Source organism: Homo sapiens, chromosome 15 (genome assembly GCF_000001405.40).
Source record: "Homo sapiens chromosome 15, GRCh38.p14 Primary Assembly".
In the NCBI taxonomy this organism is placed as follows: domain Eukaryota; kingdom Metazoa; phylum Chordata; class Mammalia; order Primates; family Hominidae; genus Homo; species Homo sapiens.
The window spans coordinates 65,451,628-65,473,222 of record NC_000015.10 but is presented as its reverse complement, the minus strand read 5'-3'; the positions used below and the strand labels follow the sequence as shown (position 1 = coordinate 65,473,222).

The following is a 21,595-nucleotide window of genomic DNA, read 5'->3' as shown; positions in this document are numbered from 1 at the left end:
CTCCCGAGTAGCTGGGATTACAGGCACACACCACCATGCCCGGCTAATTTTTGTATTTTTAGGAGAGAGGGTTTCGTCATGTTGGCCATGCTGGTCTTGAATTCCTAGGCTTGAAGGATCCTCCCACCTTGCCACCTCCCAGGTGTGAGCCACTGCGTCCTGCTCACCATTTGCTTTTCTTTTTTGAGACAGGGTCTGACTTTGTCGCCTAGGCTGGATTGCAGTGGCACAATCTTGGCTCACTACAACCTCTGCCTCCTGGGCTCAAGCCTTCCTCCCACCTCAGCCTCCCAGGTAGCTGAGACTACAGGCACACACCACCACACCCAGCTAATTTTTGTATTTTTTGTAGACGGGATTCCGCCATGTTGCCCAGGCTGGTCTCAAACTCCTGAGCTAAAGCAATCCACCTGTCTCGGCCTCCTGAAGTGCTGAGGTTACAGGTGTGAACCACCACGCCTGGCCAAGCCCACCATTTTAAAATGTATTATTGCTCCTTGATGAGAAAGGGGCATATTCATAGTTTTAGAGCCTAGCAAAAGTTGTAAGTTAGCATATGGTTTGAAAAGTAACTTAAAAATCTATTATAGACTACTTGTGTCTACATTATAAATTGCGTTTACTGGCTGGGCACAGTGGCTCACATCTGTAATCCAGCCCTTTGGGAGATGAAGGCTGGAGAATCGCTTGAGGCCAAGAGTTCAGTAACAGTTTGGGCAACATATAAGACCCTGTCTCTGCCAAAAATAAAAAATAAAAAAATTAGCTGGGCATGGTGATGCGCACCTGTAGTCCCAGCTAGTTGGAAGGCTGAGGCAGGAGAATCGCTTGAGTGCAGGAAGTCTAGGCTGCAAATGAATTATGATCACATCACTGCACTACAGCCTGGCTGAAACAGTGATACTCTGGCTCAAAAAAAACCAATAAATAAATAAATAAATAAATTGCATTTACTTCTTCTGAAGTAGTACTTGTCTTTCATTCATGTGTTTATCTTGCCCCACAAATTTAAACTTTAATCCACCACCTGCAAAGAGTGATGGGCATTTATACAGAGCTTAGATTGATAGGGAAAAGGAAGGAAGTCTACCCTGTGTTTTATTCTCAGTACCAATTCAGTGAATTCTTTAAAGAAAAAAAAATTGCGTTTTTGAAGTACCTTGCATTTGTTTCAGCTGTCACTTGGATGATCACATTCATGAGATCTCTAGGAACTCCATCCTGTATGTGTGTGACACATATAGTTGAGGTATGCTGCCAGGATTTAGTGAAGGCCTAACTAAATGTGGTTTCCTCAAATTGACAGGAAGATTTATTGAAGGATTATGTTTACTGGCTACTGTAAAAATCACTTGTAGTCTCTAAAGTGATTAAGGAGACATAATGAAGATCCAGATCCCAGGTTTGTTTTTGTTAGTAAAAACTTTAGAGTATCTGCTGGGCATGGTAGCTCAAACTTGTAGTCCCAACACTTTGGGAGGCCAGTGTCGAGGGATCACTTGTGCCCAGGAATTAGATACCAGCCTGGACAACATAGTGAGACTCCGTCTCTGCAAAAAAAATTTTAAATTAGGCAGGTGTGGTGGGGCATACCTGTAATTGCAGCACTTTGGGAGGCCAAGACAAGAGGATTGCTTTAGCCCAGGAGTTTGAGGTCAGCCTGGGTAACATAGGGAGACTCCATCTCTACCAAAAAAAAAAAAAAAAAATAGGCTGGTTATGGTGGTGCATGCCTATAGTCCCAGTAACTAAGGAGGCTGAGGTGGGAGGATCGCTTTAGCCCGGGAGGTTGAGGCTGCATTGAGCTGTGATCACAATGCTATGCTATAGCCTGGGTGTCAGAATGATACCCGCCTCAAAACAACAGCAACAACAAAAACTTCAGGGTATCAAGACTGACCTTTAAGGTCTCATTTCCACTGAGATCCTCAAGTGGCCTTCTTGTTATATATCCAAATAATTTTTTTCTGTTTTATTTTTGTTTCCAAATATTTTTTTCTGTTGAAGTACCTTGGATATTACTGTCACCTGAGAAAAAAATCTTATTGTGGAATTCTAGGTTCTGAAAACAGAAAACTACACTGATGTAAATTTCGTGCTATGTGATGATTGAAGGATGAGTCATTACATAATGCTGAGGGAACCCCAATAATTGTAATTGCATACATCTGATCCTTATTTGAGTCACCTAAACATCTACTACTTGCCACTACGTTTATCAGTTTTCTTTCATGTCATGTTTACTTGTGATACGTTAGTCTGTCTTTCCCTCTTCTCTATTTTCCCTCTTTTTTTTTTTTTTTGAGATAAGAGTCTCACTCTGTCACCCAGGTTGGAGTACAGTGGCATGATCTCAGCTTACTGCAACTTCCGCCTCCTGGGTTCAAGCAGTTCTCCTGTTTCAGCCTCCCAAGTAGCTGGGATTACAGGCATACACCACCATGCCCAGCTAATTTTTGTATTTTTAGTAGAGACAGGGTTTTGCCATGTTGGCCAGGAGGGTCTTGAACCCGTGACCTCAGGTGATCTGCCCACTTTGGCCTCCCAGAGTGCTAGGATTTCAGGCGTGAGCCACCACACCTGGCCTTTTCCTCTATTCTTTTTTTTTTTTTTTTTTGAGACAAGTCTCATTCTTGTCCCCTAGGCTAGAATGCAATGGTGCGATGTTGGCTCACTGTAACCTCTGCCTCCCAGGTTCAAGCAATTCTCCTGCCTCAGCCCCCTGACTAGCTGGGATTACAGGCACCTGCCACCAAGCCTGGCTAATTTTTGTATTTTTAGTAGAGACGGGGTTTCACCATGTTGGCCAGGCTGGTCTAGAACTCCTGACCTCACGTGATCTGCCCACCTCAGCCTCCCAAAGTACTGGGATTACAGGCGTGAGCCACCATGCCCAGCCCTTTCCCTCTATTCTTGATTTGTTTTTTGACTTAAGTTACCTTTTTCCTTCTCTACTTTTACAAGTGACTGTTCCCACCCAAAGTTGTTTTCTTTTTTCTTTCTTTTTTTTTTTTTTTTTTTTTTTTTGAGACAAGAGTCTCACTCTGTTGCACAGGCTGGAGTGCAGTAGTGCGATCTCAGCTCATTGCAACCTCCGCCTCCTAGGTTCAAGTGATTCTCCTGCTTAAGTCTCGAGTCGCTGGTATTACAGGTGCCCATCACCATGCCCAGCTAATTTTTGTGTTTTTAACAGAGATGGGGTTTTGCCATGTTGGCCAAGCTGGTCTCGAACTCCTGACGTCAGGCAATCCTCTTGCTTTGGCCTCCCAAAGTGCTGGGATTACAGGTGTGAGCCACCACACCTGGCCATCTACCCAAAGATTTCTAATGGCAGTAATTGGGTAAAGCTTTAAGACTTTTAAGCCTATGAGCTTCTTTTTCTTTTTTGAGATGGAGTCTCGCTCTGTCACCCAGGCTGGAGTGCAGTGGTACGATCTCGGCCCACTGCAACCTCTGCCTCCTGAGTTCAAGGGATTCTTATGCCTCAGCCTCCCGAGTAGCTGGGATTATGGGCATCCACTACCACACTTGGCTAATTTTTGTAATTTTTTTTTTTTTTTTTTTTTTTTGAGACGGAGTTTTGCTTTTGTTGCCCAGGCTAGAGTGCAATGGCATGATCTTGGCTCACTGCAACTTCTGCCTCCCAGGTTCAAGCGATTCTCCTGTCTCAGCCTCCTGAGTAGCTGGGATTACAGGTGCATGCCACCATGCCCAGCTAATTTTTGTGTTTTTAGTAGAGATGGGGTTTCACCGTGAGACCAGGCTGGTCTCAAACTCTTGACCTCAAGTGACCTGCCGCCTCCACCTCCCAAAGTTTTGGGATTACAGGCCTGGACCACTGCGCCCAGCTGCCTATGAGCTTTTTATTGTTAAGGGTGGTTCTCAAAGTGCTGGACCAACAGCAAAGTGTCAGCATCACCTGGGAACTTGTTAGAAGTGTACATTCTTGGCTGGGCGCAGTGGCTCATGCCTGTAATCCCAGCACTTTGGGAGGCCGAGGCAGGCGGATCATCTGAGGTCAGGAGTTCGAGACCAGCCTGGCCAACATGGTGAAACCCCGTCTCTACTCAAAATACAAAATTAGCCAGGCGTGGTGGTACATGCCTGTAATCCCAGCTACTCAGGAGGCTGAGGCAGGAGAATCGCTTGAACCTGGGAGACGGAGGTTGCAGTGAGCCGAGATCGCGCCACTGCACTCCAGCCTGGGCAACGAGAGCGAAACTCGGTCTCAAAAAGCAAAAAGAAATGCACATTCTTAGGCCCACCTCTGACATCCTGAATCAAACTCTGGTGGTGGGGCTTAGTAATCTGTTTAACAAGCCCCCCACACAATTATGATACTTCCTTGGATGTTAAGTAGTTACAGGAAAGAAGAAAACCATTGTAGATGGTGGTGAGGAATTGACTGGTTATTTTTTTAGTCTTGAAAGGCCTGACTCCCATCCGCTAGGTCAAAACGGAATGAGTCCTGATCTTTTGCAAAGATTAACACGTACTTGTAAAGTTTCATGAATATTTGTTTCCTATCATTTGTATGCTTTCTGTATGTGTCATGTGGGCCTACTTAATCCCAACTGTGTTGATTTCTATTTATGCATGCTAAAAAAATGTTTAGTGATGAAGAGGCAGCTTCCTGGGGGGAAAAAAGGCATTTAAAAATAACTTGCTTTTAGAAATTTATATGTGTTTTCATTGCTGTGTAAAAAATTTGAATTTTTTTTTTTTTTTGAGATAAGGGTCTTGCTCTGTTGCCCAGGCTGGAATGCATTGGCATGATCATGGCTCACTGCAGCTTCAAATTCTGGGCTCAAGTGATCCTTCTACTTCAGCCTTCCAAGTAGCTGGGACTACAGGGATGCATCACCATGCCCAGCTAATTTTTTCATTTTTTGTAGAAATGGGGTCTCCCTATTTTGCCCAGACTGGTCTCAAACTCCTAAGCTCAAACGATCCTCTCACTTCGGCCTCCCAAAACACTGGGATTACAGATGTGAGTCACTACATCTGGCCATTTTCTTAAACATTGTTTGAGTTGGCTGGTAGAAGATTTATAGGAACAATAAAAGAAAGCCATTTATTTGAAATCGTGCTGTAATTTGAGAAGAATATTAAGTGAATTCAGCTATTGAATTTACTTGCGGTTTTTTTGAGTTCTGAATGAAGACTTAAAAGATCTTATCCATGTTTATTTGTAAACTATACCAGTATTGAAACTGATTTAGTTCCGTTATTCCACAACCCAATAGATAAAACACGTTTGCAAATTTGTACAAAAGACCAAAAAAGTACTGCCTAAGATAATATAACACTAACTAATAAATATACAAGATAGTAAAATTAGACTTTCAAGTATGTATGAATGATTGCCCTAAGCTGCAATATAGCAGAGTATTTTTTCCCCTGTAAAGAGTTGTTATTTTAAGGAAATAATTCTTGTATTTTAAGAAAAACACACATTCTGACCAGATGGGAAACTATACAGTGTGTAACTCAGGTGTCCTTTTTCCTTCAGGGCAGGACCTGTTCTTAGCTATAAGTCATAAACAGCCAGGCATGGTGGCTCATGTTTGTAATCCCAATACTTCGGGAGGCTGAGGCAGGAGGATTGCTTGAAGCTATGGGTTTAAGACCAGCTTGGGCAACATAGTGAGGCCTCATCTCCTTAAAAACATTTAGAAACTTAGCTGGGCATGGTGGTGTATGCTTGTAGCTACTCAGGAGGCTGGGGTGAGAGTATAGCTTCAGCCTTGGATTTTGAAGCTGCAGTGAGCCATGATCGCATCATTGCATTACAGCTTGGGTAGCAGAGGTGAGACCTCAACTCTTTAAAAAATAAATAAATAAGCAAAATTAACTCAGGTTTATTAATAGTGGCAGCAAAAAAAAGAAAAAAGAAGGCATAAGTCAAGGAGTGGCTCAAGTGATTGTAAATAAAATTGGGGGTTAGCTTTGCCAAGGTCATGTTAGCCCTGATTTTGTTATTGTTGTTATCTTGTCAGATCCAAGTTGATGAAGTCAGAAGGCTGGTATATTTTGAAGGCACCAAAGACTCCCCTTTAGAGCATCACCTGTACGTAGTCAGTTACGTAAATCCTGGAGAGGTGACAAGGCTGACTGACCGTGGCTACTCACATTCTTGCTGCATCAGTCAGGTATTAAGTTTGTTTAAAAAGGGTTTTGTGTCATATTAAAACTCTCTGCTTATGTAATACTCCTTTTGAATGATGTGAAATTGGCCTGCAAAAGCCTAATTCTCTAAGGAAAAGCTTTAAAAAGCTTAATTTCAACATTGTATATGTACATAAATAGTCTCTTATAATACTCTTGCTATATCATTAGTGCAGATGTAACAGCAGATAACCTTTTCTACCTTCCTGACGAAAAATATAATTGTTTCTCCTTTCTCTAGCACTGTGACTTCTTTATAAGTAAGTATAGTAACCAGAAGAATCCACACTGTGTGTCCCTTTACAAGCTATCAAGTCCTGAAGATGACCCAACTTGCAAAACAAAGGAATTTTGGGCCACCATTTTGGATTCAGCAGGTATTCTTTTTTCCCCCTGATCCTGACGTTAAGTAGGATTAATATATTAGTACACTAAACGTGTGTCATATTTTCACATTTCCTGGACAAGTCTTTCCATCTCTCACCACTGCCTGTCCCTGAGCTGCTGAGCTCCTGATAGATCCCTCTTCTCCTATTCTGTTAGCTACTGAATAAGATGGGTTACTTCTCACTCCAAGCAGCAGCAAGTCTGGAAGGCCTTTTTGAAAATAAGGTTAAGGCCAGGTGCAGTGGCTCACACCTGTAATCCCTACACTTTGGGAGACCAAGGCGGGTGGATCACTTGAGGTCAGGAGTTCGGGACCAGCCTGGCCAATTAGTAAAACCCCGTCTCCACTAAAAATACAAATATTAGCTGGGCGTGGTGCTGTGTGCCTGTTGTCCCAGCTACTCAGGAGGCTGAGGCATGAGAATCACTTGAAGCTGGGAGGCGGAGGTTGCAATGAACTAAGATCACACCACTGAACTGCAGCCTGGGTGACAAAGCAAGACCTTGTCTCAACAAATAAAGAAAATAAGATTAAAATAGTCAAGGTGTCAGCTAGGAAACAATTTATTCACAAATTTTGATGATTTCTCAGGTAAACAAATGAACTTGAGGAGAATAGTATTCTGAACTAGTAAGACTCTTTGAGCAAGGAAGCTGCAACTTTGGAGAATAACCAGCTGATAGCTTTCTTAAACTTTTGAAGCACTTGTAATAGCTATTTTAATAAAAGAACACTTGCTCTCTCTGGAATGAGAGAAAAACTGAATTATTTGTTTAAAATATTTGATTTCTTAAACATAAATAATGGACTGGGCTGGGCGTGGTGGCTCACACGTGTAATCCCAGCACTTTGGGAGGCCGAGGTAGGTGGATGACAAGGTCAGGAGATCGAGACCATCCTGGCTAACACGGTGAAACCCTGTCTCTATTAAAAAATACAAAAAATTAGCCGGGTGTGGTGGTACACGCCTGTAGTCCCAGCTACTCAGGAGGCTGAGGCAGGAGAATCGCTTGAACCCAGGAGGCGGAGGTTGCAGTGAGCCAAGATTGTGCCACTGCTCTCCAGCCTGGGCGACGGAGTCAAAAAAAAAAAAAAAAGAATGGACTGGTTTTATGTATCATCTAATTCACTTTAATCTCCAATCTTTTTTTCTAGTATTTTCACTAACTAGCTATTTCTGCTAAGGGGTTAAGAAATTAGGCCAGGCGTAGTGGCTCATGCCTGTAATCCCAGCACTTTGGGAGGCTGAGGTGGTTGGATCATTTGAGATCAGGAGTTCAAGAGCAGCCTGGCCAACATGGTGAAACCCCACATCTACTAAAAATACAAAAACTAGCCAGACGTGGTGGTGGGCACCTGTACTCCCAGCTACTCAGGAGGCTGAGGCAGGAGAATCACTTGAACCTGGGAGATGGAGGTTGCAGTAAGCCAAGATCACACCACTGCACTCCAGCCTGGGCAACAGAGTGAAACTCTGTCTCAAAAAAAAAAAAAAAAAAGAAAAAACAAATTAGTACAGAACCAAAAAATATAAGTGTGTTTTAATGTCCACAAGCAGAATCAGAACTTGTAATATGGTGATGATCTCTGCTTAGACTGTAAATTATCTGCTGTACACAAACACTTAGGAGAGGTCTGTATAGCTTTGGTGAACCAAAAGCTAATGATGACTTTTTTCTGAGTTCTGGTTAGGCTTATTTTCTAATGATCAGAAGCAAATGTTTTTGGTCACCTACCCTGAAAAATTAAATTGACTAATAATTTACCTCACCCCCCCACCCAGCTTTATCTGTTTCTAACCAGATATATGGTTTAATCAACAATAAGTTATATTGAGCATAAAGTATCTGTATAGTTCTGCACATAGACATTTCCTAGGCTCCAAGGATTATTGGTAACACTCTGTGTCTGCTTCTGAAATAATTTGATATGTTTGTTTTGTTGTTGTTCTTTATTTGGTGGGTTTTTGTTGTTGTCGAGACAGTGTCTTGTTCTGTCGCTCAGGCTGGAGTGCAGTGGCGCAGTCACAGGGCACAGCTCAATGTAGCCTCAACCTCCTGGGCTCAGTCAATCTTCCTGCCTCAGCCTCCTGAGTAGCTGGGACTACAGGAGCACACCTCCATGCCTGGGTAATTTTTGTATTTTTTTGTAGAGACAGGGTTTTGCCATGCCACCCAGGCTGGTCACAAACTCTTGGGCTCAAGCAATCCACCCACCTCAGCCTCCCAAAATGCTAGGATTGTAGGTGTGAGCCACCGTGCCTGGCCTAGTTTTGTTTTTTTTAAATTATTTATTTATTTTTTTGAGATGGAGTCTCGCTCTGTCACCCAGGCTGGAGTGCAGTGGCGTGATCTCAGCTCACTGCAAGCTCCACCTCCCGGGTTCACACCCTTCTCCTGCCTCAGCCTCCCGAGTAGCTGGGGCTACAGGCGCCTGCCACCATGCCCAGCTAATTTTTTGTATTTTTAGTAGAGGCGGGGTTTCACCGTGTTAGCCAGGATGGTCTCAAACTCCTGACCTTGTGATCCACCTGCCTCGGCCTCCCAAAGTGCTGGGATTACAGGCATGAGCCACTGCGCCCGGCCTAGTTTTGTTTTTAAAGATGAATATACTCTTGCTTAAATTCTAGCTTATCATCTGAAAGAGGGGTGGTCAGTTTGTGTTGGCGGGGCTGACTTTTAATATCTTGTTTCTTGTTCCCAGATTGTAGCACTCCCATAAGAACTCTTTTGTAGACTCTGTTATGTTACCTATTCACAGGTCCTCTTCCTGACTATACTCCTCCAGAAATTTTCTCTTTTGAAAGTACTACTGGATTTACATTGTATGGGATGCTCTACAAGCCTCATGATCTACAGCCTGGAAAGAAATATCCTACTGTGCTGTTCATATATGGTGGTCCTCAGGTGGGCATATTTATATACATATATACATACACCCATATGCATATGTATTTTAGATCTTTTGTTTTTTAAATGTCTAGTCAGTTTAAGATTTTGAGCATTGTTGGGCATTTGCTTTTAATGACTCCGTCTTATATTCCAATTATTCAGTTTAGGGGGTCAGGAAACTGGTTTTTGTTGGAGGTTTAATTTGTAAATCACTGAGTCTTTTTTTTTTTTTTGAGATGGAGTTTTGCTCTTGTTGCCCAGGCTGAAGTACAATGGCGCAATGTCGGCTCACTGCAACCTCCGCCTCCCAGGTTCAAGTGATTCTTCTGCCTCAGCCTCCCAAGTAGCTGGGATTACAGGCATACATCACCATGCCCAGCTAATTTTTAAAATATTTTTAGTAGACATGGGATTTCACCATGTTGGTCAGGCTGGTCTCCAACTCCTGACCTCAAGTGACCCACCCGCCTCAGGCTCCCAAAGTGTTGGGATTACAGGCGTGAGCCACCGTGCCCTGCCACTAAGGCAGTTCCTTAATTTGCAGTGTGGACTATAGTTCTGTGAGGAGTGCGGTGTTCATGTCAGTAGGTAAATATGTTGCTTTCTATGTAGAGAAACTTGTTTGGGAAATAAAATGAAATAATTAAATGTCTTGGTAAATCAAAAGAGTCTTAACAGATATTTTTAGAAAGCTTTGGTAGCCTAGTGAATTCTCCCTCTTCATTCTAAAGCTGTGTCTCTCAAGCAAATTAAAATATTTTTATCAGCTAGTTAAGGCAACTGCTATACTACTATTTAGCACTGTAAGAAGTTTATACCTTGATTTTCCTTATTCTGGATTAAGTATTAGCCAATGACTGTTAAGTAAATGCTTTGACTATTGGAGTGAAATATTTTGGCCAGGCGCAGTGGCTCACGCCTGTAATCCCAGCACTTTGGGAGGCCGAGGTGGGCAGATCACAAGGTCAGGAGATCGAGACCATCCTGGCCAACAATGATGAAACCCTATCGCTACTAAAAATATAAAAATTAGCTGGGCGTGGTAGTGCGTGCCTAAAATCCCAGCTACTTGGGAGGCTGAGGCAGGAGAATCGCTTGAACCAGGGAGTCAGAGGTTGCGGTGAGCCGAGATAGTGCCACTGTACTCCAGCCTGGTGACAGAGCGAGACTCTGTCCAAAATATATATATTTTGGATGGGTGTATTGGTTAATTGCTAAATTTTAAAATTGTTTATTCTTGATTATATATCCTACACTGAGCCTTGGAAGAAATTAAAATATAATTACAGTCTTTTCATAATGCAATCCTTAGATTCAGTAATACCCTTTAATAATTATACCCAGTTATTTAGTATCTGGAAATGTATCTACATACCAAATTGTACACAAAAAAAGTAAAATAACTACATAAACCATAAAATCTCTAAATCACTTTGCCATCAAGTGTGTTTACAAACAAAATATGATTGACATTTGTATTTTCATCTACACAAGTCATGAAAGAGTTAGCCGGGCGCTGTGGCTCAAGCCTGTAATCCCAGCACTTTGGGAGGCTGAGGCAGCAGGATCACCTGAGGTCAGGAGTTCAAGACCAGCCTGGCCAACATGGCGAAACCTTGTCTCTACTAAAAATACAAAAATTAGTCGGGCGCAGTGGCAGACACCTGTAATCCCAGCTACTAGGGAGACTGAGGCAGGAGAATTGCTCGAACCTGGGAGGTGGAGGTTGCAGTGAGCTGAGATTGTGCCACTACACTGCAGCCCAGGCAACAGAGTAAGACCCTGTCTCAAAAAAGAAAGAAAGGAAGTTAAATTTTAGACTTCTGGTTAAAGCTTGAAGTCAAATATTTGTAAACTTTAAAAAAAAAAAAACGGTCGGCTGTGCGCGATGGCTCAAGCCTGTAATCCCAGCACTTTGGGAGGCCAAGGCAGGCGGATCATGAGGTCAGAGGTTCAAGACCAGCCTGGCCAACATAGTGGAACCCTGTGTCTACTAAAAATACAAACATTAGCCAGTGGTGGCAAGTGCCTATAGTCCCAGCTACTTGGGAGGCTAAGGCAGGAGAATCGTTTGAACCCAGGTGCTGGAGGGTTGCAGTGAGCCAAGATCGTACCACTGCACTCCGGCCTGGACAACACAGCGAGACTCTGTCTCAAAAAAAAAAAAGGCTTAATAGAAAGCAACTCAAGAGAAAAATCATAGGACACTCTCAAGCTTTATACATTTGTTAAATTATTTTGATGGTAAGACTAAATAAGAAGATTTTCCCCTCCCAGTGAAGAAATGATACAGTATATAGGATTGTTAAAAGACATTCTAAAAACTAGATTTTAAAGATTAGGCTGGGTGTAGTGGCTCATAACTGTAATCTCAGCAATTTGGGAGGGAGGATCACTTGAGCCTAGGAGTTGGGAGACAAGCCTGAGCAACAAAGTGAGACCCCGTCTCTACAGAAAAATAAAGTTAGCTAGGCGTGGTGGCTCATGCCTGCAGTCCCATCTACTCAAGAGGCTGAGGCAGGAGGATCCCCTGAGCCCAGGAGTTCGAGGTTGCAGTGAGTCATAATCATGCCGCTATACTCCAGCCTGGGTGACAGAGCAAGATCCTGTCTCAAGAAAAAGATTTAAAGGATTCCTTATATGAGTAATTAAGTTTAAAGAGGCTTAGCCACATGAAAAGATGCTCAATATGACTAGTCATTAGGGAAATGCAAATCAAAGCCACTGTGAGATACCAGTTCACACCCATTGGATTGGCTGTTATCAAAAAGAGGAAAATATTAAGTGCTGTACAAGATGTAGAGGAATTGGAACCCTGCCTGGTTCATTGCTGGTGAGAATATAAAATGTTATAGCTGCTGTGGAAAACAGTATGGCATTTCCTCAAAATGTCAAACATAGAATTACTATATGAGCCAGAAATTCCACTTCTTGGTATATACCCAGAAGAATTGAAAATATGGACAGGAACAGATACTTATACAGCCATAGCCATAGCAGCATTATGCACAATAGCCAAAAGGCAGTGCACGTGTCCATCAACAGATGAATGGATAAACAAAATGTGGTCTATACATACAACGGAATATTATTTTATTCAGCCTTAAAAAGGAGGATGTTCTGACATATAGTATAACACTGATGAACCTAGAGGGCATTATGCTAAGTGAAATAATTATTGCCAGACACAAAAGGACAAATATTATTCCACCTGTATGAGGTACCTATAATAGGCAAATTCATAGGGATAGAAAGTAGAATAGAAGTTGTCAGGGACTGGATGGAAGGAGGATGGGGAGTGTTTGAGTGCTTTGTTTGTTTGATTCTTTGTTTTTGAGACAGTCTCGCTCTGTCTTCCAGGCTATAATGCAGAGGCATGATCTCAGCTCACTGCCTCCTCCACCTCCTGGGTTCAAGCGATTCTCCTGCTTCAGCGTCCCTAGTAGCTGGGATTACAGGCGTGCACCACCATGCCTGGCTAATTTTTTGTATTTTTAGTAGAGACAGGGTTTCACCATGTTAGCCAGGCTGGTCTCGAACTCCTGACCTCAAATGATCCACCCGCGTCAGCCTCCCATAGTGCTGGTATTACAGACGTAACCCACCATGCCTGTCTGGAAGTTATTAATGGGTACAGAATTTCTGTTTGGGTGATGAAAAAGTTCTGGAAATGGATAGTGGTGATGGTTACACAGCAGCATGAATATATTTAATGTCATTGAATTGTATGCTTAAAATGGTTGAAATGGTAAATTTTATATATATTTTACCATAATTTAAAAAATGTTAGCCAATTCAATTAAAACAATTTTTTTTTTTTTGAGATGGAGTCTCGCTGTGTTGCCTAGGCTGGGGCGCAGTGGCACGATCTCGGCTCACTGCAACCTCCACCTCCCAGGTTCAAGCAATTCTTTTGCCTCAGCCTCTTGAGTAGTTGGGACTACAGGTGCGCAGCACCATACCTGGCTAATTTTTATATTTTTAGTAGAGATGGGGTTTCACCATGTTGGCCAAGATGGTCTCGAACTCCTGACCTCAGGTGATCTACCCACCTCGGCCTCCCAAAGTGCTGGGATTACAGGCGTGAGCCACTGCACCTGGCCAAAACAAAAATTAATTGTTTAGAATACTTTATGCAGTACAGCTATGCTTTTTTGCACTTACCGAACAGTCATATTTGAAAGGCTATGAGTGAATTTCACCATGTGGTTTTTGAAAAACTATAGGTGACTTAGGATGATTTATTGATTTCTTTCTCAGAATATTCTTTGGAAAAATTCAAATTTGGTGAGGCCAGAGAAGAATCTGGGCTGGGTGTGGTGGCTCATGCCTGTAATCCCAGCACTTTGGGAGGCTTAAACAAGAGGATCGCTTTAGCCCAGGAGTTCGAGACCAGATAGGGAGACCCCCATCTCTACAAAAAATAAAAAAATTAGTTGGGCATGGTGGCAAACACCTCTGGTCCCAGCTACTTGGGAGGCTGAGATAGGAGGATTGCTTGAGCCAGGGAGTTTGAAGTTGCAGTGAGCTGTGATCATGCCATTGCACTCCAGCCTGGACAAGAGAGTGAGACCATGTGTCAAAAGAGAAGAAACAGAAGAATCTGGCCAGGTGTGGTGGCTCACGCTTGTAATCTCAGCGCTTTGGGAGGCCGAGGTGGGAGGATTAGTTGAGCCCAGGAGTTTGAGACCAGCCTGGGCAACACAGCAAGACCCCCCCCGCCTTTTTTTTTTTTAAGGTTAAAAAAAAAATAAAGAATCTGGTGTTCAGTTTGCAGGGAGATTTTCCCATGAGATTTCACATGATATAGTGCCCCTGTCCCTTCAGCCTCTTGGAAGATCATTCATCTTCTTGCTTGATGACTTCATTTGGGTTAATTATGAAGTGACTCTCTAATGTAGGACTAGGTCTTTTAATAGCACATAATAACATTGTAAAATTTGTTTAAATCTTTTAAGAGTATGATGTTCATGTGGTCAAAACTGTTCTTTCTTGGTGTGTATTCACGTCTAAGTGGAAATATGTTGAAACAGCAACAGTGTCACAATTCATAACATGAAGCGAATTACTTTGTCACTAAAGGCAGCAATTTCTGTAGGTCAGGAAAGAGTGAAATACAAGAAAAGCAGCAGATATTTCCCACTAAAGTTATCAAGGATCAGTTCCTTAAACTTTCCATTATTAACAGCTGTGTTTCTAAACATTTATTTAACAAGGCTGGGTAAGGTGGCTCATGTCTGTAACCCCAGCACTTTGGGAGGCTGAGGTGGGCGGATGACTTGAGGTCAGGAGTTTGAGACCAGCCTGGCTAACATGGTGAAACCCCGACCTTATTAAAATTACAAAAATTAGCCAGGCATTGTGGTGCACACCTATAATCCCAGCTACTCGGGAGGCTGAGGCACGAGAATTGCTTGAACCTGGGAGGCGGAAGTTGCAGTGGGCCGAGATCACGCCATTGCACTCCTGCCTGGGTGACAGAGCAAGACTACATTTCAAAAAACAAAAAAAGTTTGTGTAACAAATACTTATGTTTCCTAGAATGTGCCAGACACTGTTCTGCAAATAAAAATCCAAAGAGATCAGGCTAGATGATAACAGGACACAGGTTTTGAAGAATTGATACTGAAGGAGACTTTTGGATTCCCAGTGCCAAAAGGCATTATATTTAAGTGTTCATATCAAGCAATTGAGACCATCTTCTATACATGGTAGCAGACAAAGAAGTGAGGTGATTTTCTTTAAATGTTCATATTCGTGTACTTCTCTGCCTAGTATTTCTTCTTTCAGCACTCTCCCTTTAAAGACAAATATCTTTAGCCAGGTGCTGTGGCACACACATGTAATCCCAGCTATTCAGAGGCTGAGGTGGGAGGATTACTTGAGCCCAGGAGTTCGAGGCTGTAGTGAACTATGATTGTACCACCACACTCCAGCCTGGGGTACAGAGTGAGACACCATCTCTTAAGTAAATAAATAAATACAAGTGCCTTTACTCACCAAACGCCCTCTTCCCAAGGTAGAAATGGGAAAAAAACATTATTCTCCTGTTTCTCTTTTTCATTCATTCATTTAGCAAACAGGTATTAAGTTCCTGTGATGTGCTAGGTACTGTTCTAGGCAGTGAGGATACCCAGTGAACATGTCAGACTAATATTCCACTTCATGGACCATAAAGGGAAAATAATAAGCAAACATAAAAAGATATGATGGTGAGACCCCATCTCTACAAAAAAATTTAAAAATTAGCCAGGCATGGTGGTGCACACCTGTAGTCCCAGCTACTTGAAGGCTGAGGCAGGAGGATCACTTGAGCCCAGGAATTTGAGGCAGCACTGAGCTATGATTGTACCACTGCACTCCAGCCTGGAGACCCCATCTCTTAAAAAAAAAAAGTATGACTTTTTTTGTTTGTTTTTTGAGACAGAGTCTCACTGTGTTGCCCAGGCTGCAGTGCAGTGGTGTGATCTTTGCTCACTGCAACCTCTCTGCCTTCTGGGTTCAAGCAATTCTCATGCCTCTGCCTCCCGAGTGACTGGGATCACAGGCACTCCCCACCATGCCCAGCTAATTTTTTGTTTTTGGTAGAGACGGGGTTTCGCCATGTTGGCCAGGCTGGTCTCGAACTCCTGACCTCAGGTGATCCACCCGCTTCAGCCTCCCAAAGTGCTGGGATTACAGGTGTGAACCACCACGCTCAGCCCAAAAGTATGACTTTTTATAATGGAAGTTCTATGAAGATTTGCTGGGAAAGGGGATGGCAAGACCTCTCCTGAGGTTACAAACATTGAGAAGGAATGAGCCATGCAAAAGATGTGAGAGAAAAGCATTCCAGACACAGAAAACGGTAAATGTCAAGTTCCTGGGGCTAGAACCAACTTGATAGTGTTGACAATAAGGTTAGAGTACAGTGCACTTGGAGGGAAATGGTATGAGATGAGGTCAGAGGTAGCCAAAGATCTCAAGGGCCATGTAGACTTATTCTGAAGGGTAATGGTAGGCAGTGGAGGAAGCCAAGCAGCAGTCATATCTGATGTCTGATGGGGAGGAAAGTTTTTCTTATTTGTCCTTGTAACTGTCATTCGAATAGCACAGTTCTTCAGGGTAGAAGTAATCAATTTAGTAACTTTTTATATGGGGTGGGTTGATTCACTTATATGTAATTAATATTTAAGTTAGAATTTTAAAGCCTATGGTTGTTCAGTAATTGCCCTGAACTTGAGTGTGAAGTTAAGCAAGAAGCAAATAAACAGACTTGTTAATTTAAAAAGAAATGACTTAAAAAATTACATTTTAAAGGTAAAATAATAGTGAAATTAAGCTTTCTATTTCTTGCAATGCCCAGCCGCTCTTGGGTTTTTATATGCTTCCATATGATAAACTGAAGTTGTGTTTCTTCCTCAGGTGCAGTTGGTGAATAATCGGTTTAAAGGAGTCAAGTATTTCCGCTTGAATACCCTAGCCTCTCTAGGTTATGTGGTTGTAGTGATAGACAACAGGGGATCCTGTCACCGAGGGCTTAAATTTGAAGGCGCCTTTAAATATAAAATGGTGTGTGAGCATAAAACACTTTTCTTTTACAGACATTTACATTTTCTGGTCCATTGTTTGGTGTGAAACCCTTGAAAGAGAGTTGGGGGAAGGGGCTATGAATGAGTGAGTGAGAGTGTATGTGTTAGAGTTTGGGGGTGGGAGAGAAGATGCAACTTGATGTACACCCTACTTATACGTAACTTTGGGGAACTGAGATAGAGCCACTTGTACATAGAAATATCCTCTCTGTTTTGTATGTCCACTTGGGTAGAATTTAGCACCATTTAGCTTTCAGCATCCTGTACACAGTTGAGGAATAATTGAGATTTGTTCTGTCCTCTGTGAAGAGGGAATCCAACTGGTTAGTGCCTTCCTTGTGACAAGCCTCTTTCTCTCTACAGGAAGCTTTAAATGCTACCTTTTAGAGATGCCCCATGTCCTTTCTGCTGCTTTGGGAAATGATGAGAATCCGATGTTCCTTTTGCACAGTAAGGCAGTTACTGTGTTTGCCAGTGTTATTGGACATGCTGAGTAAGACATGGGGATTTTCTCCCACAGCCAGTTCTTTGACCTTATGTTGTATTCTCATGTAAGTTTTTTTGTTTTTATTTTTGTTTTTGGCTCAGTGAAGTGAGATTGCGTGCACTGGCAGGCCTAGTAATATAGACAAGGTGGTGGTGGTAGGAATTAGGACTTTAAAGAAGTAGTATGTTCAGTTCCTAGAGGTAGTATAATAGGGAAATAAGAAGACAGGGCCTCAAGAGCAATTCCTTCTGCTTTACTGCACTAAAAATTAAAAAGGAGAAGTAGGCCAGGTGCAGTGGCTCACGCGTGTAATCCCAGCACTTTGGGAGGCCAAGGCAGGAGGATCACTTGAGCCCAGGAGTTCAAGACCAACCTGGGCAACATAATGAGACCCCACCTCTACAAATGAGTTAAAAAATTAGCTGGGCATGGTGGCGCATGCCTGTGGTCCCAGCTACTTGGGAGGCTTGAGGTGGGAGGATAACTTGAGCCCGGGAGGTTGAGCTACAGTGATCCCTGGTCACACTACTGCACTCCAACCTGGACAGCAGAGTGAGACCATGTCTCCAAAAAAATAGATAAAAAGGAAAAGTAAAATTAATTACTTAAGGGGCTAATTTTTTGTCTTTGGGTATAGGAAGGCTTGTTACAAGGAAGATGCTGACCTCTTAGCAGACAACAGAACAAATGGAAATGGGAAATACCCAAATAGCAAGGGACAGTTTGAGTAGCAGTAGGAGGGAGCTTTATGACTAAGTGGTAACTAAACTCTAGGACAGGCTAGCAACAGAAGATATAGGCCCCTATCTCCAAATAGATTTTTAAAAAATTTGAGGGAGAGGGGGCAACAGAATCTCAGTTGGTAATAAACTCTAATCTAAAAAAACCTACGGGGCCGGGTGTGGTGGCTCACGCCTGTAATCCCAGCAATTTGGGAGGCCGAGGCGGGTGAATCACTTGAGGTCAGGAGTTCGAGACTAGCCTGGCCATAGTGAAACTCCGTCTCTACTAAAAAATACAAAAATTAGCTGGGCATGGTGGCGCATGCCTGTGATCCCAGCTACTTGGGAGGCTGAGGCAGGAGAATCACTTGAATCCACCAGGCGGAGGTTGCAGTGAGCCGAGACTGCGTCATTGCACTCCAGCCTGGGTGACAGAGTGAGACTCCATCTCAAAAAATAAATAAAATAAAAATTAAAACACCTACAGGTATTTTTAGTAAAAACATTTATCATCTTTGAAAGCACTCTTACGAGACTTTTATTCATCAGAATCAGTGAAATGTTCTCCCTTTTTTGACAGGGTCAAATAGAAATTGACGATCAGGTGGAAGGACTCCAATATCTAGCTTCTCGATATGATTTCATTGACTTAGATCGTGTGGGCATCCACGGCTGGTCCTATGGAGGATACCTCTCCCTGATGGCATTAATGCAGAGGTCAGATATCTTCAGGGTATGTGACTTCCTATTATACTCATTTTTGCAATAAGGGTAGATTTTTCTGTAAATGGAGGATATATGAAAATGTCTATTTTCTGAAGGTTTACAGAGTTGGCAATTTTTTTTTTTTTTTTTTTTTGAGACGAAGTCTTGCTCTGTAACCCGGGCTGGAGTGCAGTGGCGCAATCTCAGCTCACTGCAATCTCTGCCCCTGGGTTCAAGTGATTCTCATGTCTCAGCCTCCTGTTCTCATATCTCAGCCTCCTGAGTAGCTGGGATTACAAGTGCCCACCACCACACCTGGCTAATTTTTATTTTTATTTTTTTTAAAGTAGAGATGGGATTTCACCATATTGGCTAGGCTGGTCTCAAACTCCTGACCTCAAGAGATCCACCTGCGTTGGCCTCCCAAAGTGCTAGGATTACAGGCATGAGCCACTGCGCCTGGCCCAGAGTTGGCAATATTGTAGAATGTTAGGGTTTGTATGTTTAAAAGCCATGTGAAATGTATATATATCTCAAGTTTGTTTTTTGTTGTTGTTCTGTTTTGTTTTGTTTTGAGACGGAGTCTCGCTCTTCACCCAGGCTGGAGTGCAGTGACGCAATCTTGGCTCACTGCAGCCTCCACCTCCTGGGTTCAAGTGATTTCCAGCTAATTTTTGTACTTTTAGTAGAGATGGAGTTTCACCATGTTGGCTAGGCTGGTCTTGAACTCCTGACCTGAAGTGATCCCTCTGCCTTGGCCTCCCAAAGTGCTGGGATTACAGGCATGAACCACTGCGCCCAGCCTTCAAGTTTTATGTGTGTAGATATATATATATGTATGTGTGTGTGTGTGTGTGTATATTTTTCTTTTAAACATGTATAATGTTTAAATCTGTCAACTGGATAACCAGTTACTGGCTGTTTATAGATACATGCCAAAGAGTGTAGGAGATGGTTATGATTAGTAAAACACATACAACATACCTGATGGATCGTAATTACTTAATTGTTGGACTGCAAGCTATGAGGGCAGGGACCTGTTTGCCCTGTACACCATTGTATCTTCAGCAGTCAAGCACAATGCTGGGCATATAGTAGGCCCTCAATAAATGTGTTGAATGAATTAATTATTAAATGTATAAATGCTTACAATTCTGTAAACAAACTCTTGGAAAAATATACTAGAAGAAATTACATAAGGATGATAACAATTGTTGAGAATAGGAATTATGAGTAGTGTTTCTTTTTTAATATTTCAATAACATGATGTTACTTTACAGTGAAAAGTAATTTTTTAAAATTTTATTTTATTTTATTTTTTTGAGACAGAGTCTTGCTGTCACCCAGGCTGGAATGCAGTGTGCGATCTCGGCTCACTGCAACCTCCGCCTCTCAGGTTCAAGCGATTCTCGTGCTTCAGCCTCCCAAGTAACTGGGATTAAAGGCGCCCACCACTATTCCCAGCTAATTTTTGTATTTTTAGTAGAGACGAGATTTCACCATGTTTGCCAGGCTGGTCTCAGACTCCTGACCTTGGGTGATCCGCCCGCCTCAGCCTCCCAAAGTGCTGGGATTACAGGTGTGAGCCATTGCACCTGACCATTAATTTTTATTTTTAAGAACAAAAACAATAAGGTTTTTATTCTTGCACATATATCTAGATAATCTTTATAATAACCATAAATAAATTCTGACCACTTCCATAATTTTCCCAGGTTTGTAGCTGTCAAGAAAATAGAGTATTTAAATATAAAACTACGTATAGGACAGGCAAATTTTTAGTATATTTCATTTATTGTTTTAAATTCTATACTGCCAACAGAGGCTTAAAAAAAAAAGGTGGCTCCTTTTTTACATAAAACTGACAGTTCTCACACGTTTTTTCCTCAGTAGCAGGATATAGTTCAGTTGTCTTTTAATAACGGGCCTGGCTTTCATATTTCAGCTAGCCCAGGTTAAAGGTTTGGTATGTAGAATGCCCATGGAACATGAAACTGACTCACAGAGTATCAAATTCTTGACCTTAGCGCTTCACTTCGTATTCTGAGTTGCCTAAGACATGTATGCGCCAGTAGTAAGGCTAAAGCTTAAGGATAATTTTAGACTGTAAATTTGCAGTTGTAAGATCTCACTGCTAGCCACTCTCTTTTTCCAGACCACACTTGACTGTCAATGTCATCTTATGCAGGTTGCTATTGCTGGGGCCCCAGTCACTCTGTGGATCTTCTATGATACAGGATACACGGAACGTTATATGGGTCACCCTGACCAGAATGAACAGGGCTATTACTTAGGATCTGTGGCCATGCAAGCAGAAAAGTTCCCCTCTGAGTAAGTGCAAGCTTTTTTTTTTTTTTTTTTAAATTGAGACAGGGTCTCACTCTGTCACTTAGGCTGGAGTGTAGTGGCATGATCAGGGCTCCCTGCAGCGTCAAACTCCTGGGCTCAGAGGATCCTCCCACCTCAGCCCCCGAGTAGCTGGGTTTACAGGCACGTGCCACCATGCCCGCCTAATTTTTTGTATTTTTAGTAGAGTCAGGGTTTTATCATGTTGCCTAGGGTGGTCTCAAACTCCTGAACTCAAGTTATCTGCCCACCTCAGACTCCCAAAGTGCTGGGATTACAGGCATGAGCCACCGGGCACAGCCTAATTCAAGCTTTAA

The 21,595-nt window shown here is 42.5% G+C and overlaps 1 protein-coding gene across 33 annotated transcripts in view; it reads left to right on the top strand.

Annotated features, from left to right (window-relative positions):
- Positions 1–21,595, top strand: part of DPP8 (dipeptidyl peptidase 8) — a 75,223-nt gene that overhangs the window by 44,467 nt on the left and 9,161 nt on the right. For 18 of the 33 annotated variants that reach the window (NM_001438669.1, NM_130434.5, NM_001438674.1 and 15 more), the window contains 6 exons: positions 6,000–6,152; positions 6,410–6,545; positions 9,317–9,462; positions 16,852–16,998; positions 18,808–18,960; positions 21,121–21,263. In NM_001438669.1, coding sequence (NP_001425598.1) covers positions 6,000–6,152; positions 6,410–6,545; positions 9,317–9,462; positions 16,852–16,998; positions 18,808–18,960; positions 21,121–21,263 — 878 coding nt within the window. Of the gene's footprint in view, positions 1–5,999; positions 6,153–6,409; positions 6,546–9,316; positions 9,463–16,851; positions 16,999–17,381; positions 17,570–18,807; positions 18,961–21,120; positions 21,264–21,595 lie in introns of those variants that run through there. The other 15 variants (NM_017743.6, NM_001438671.1, XM_047432768.1 and 12 more) reach the window with 6 other exon arrangements.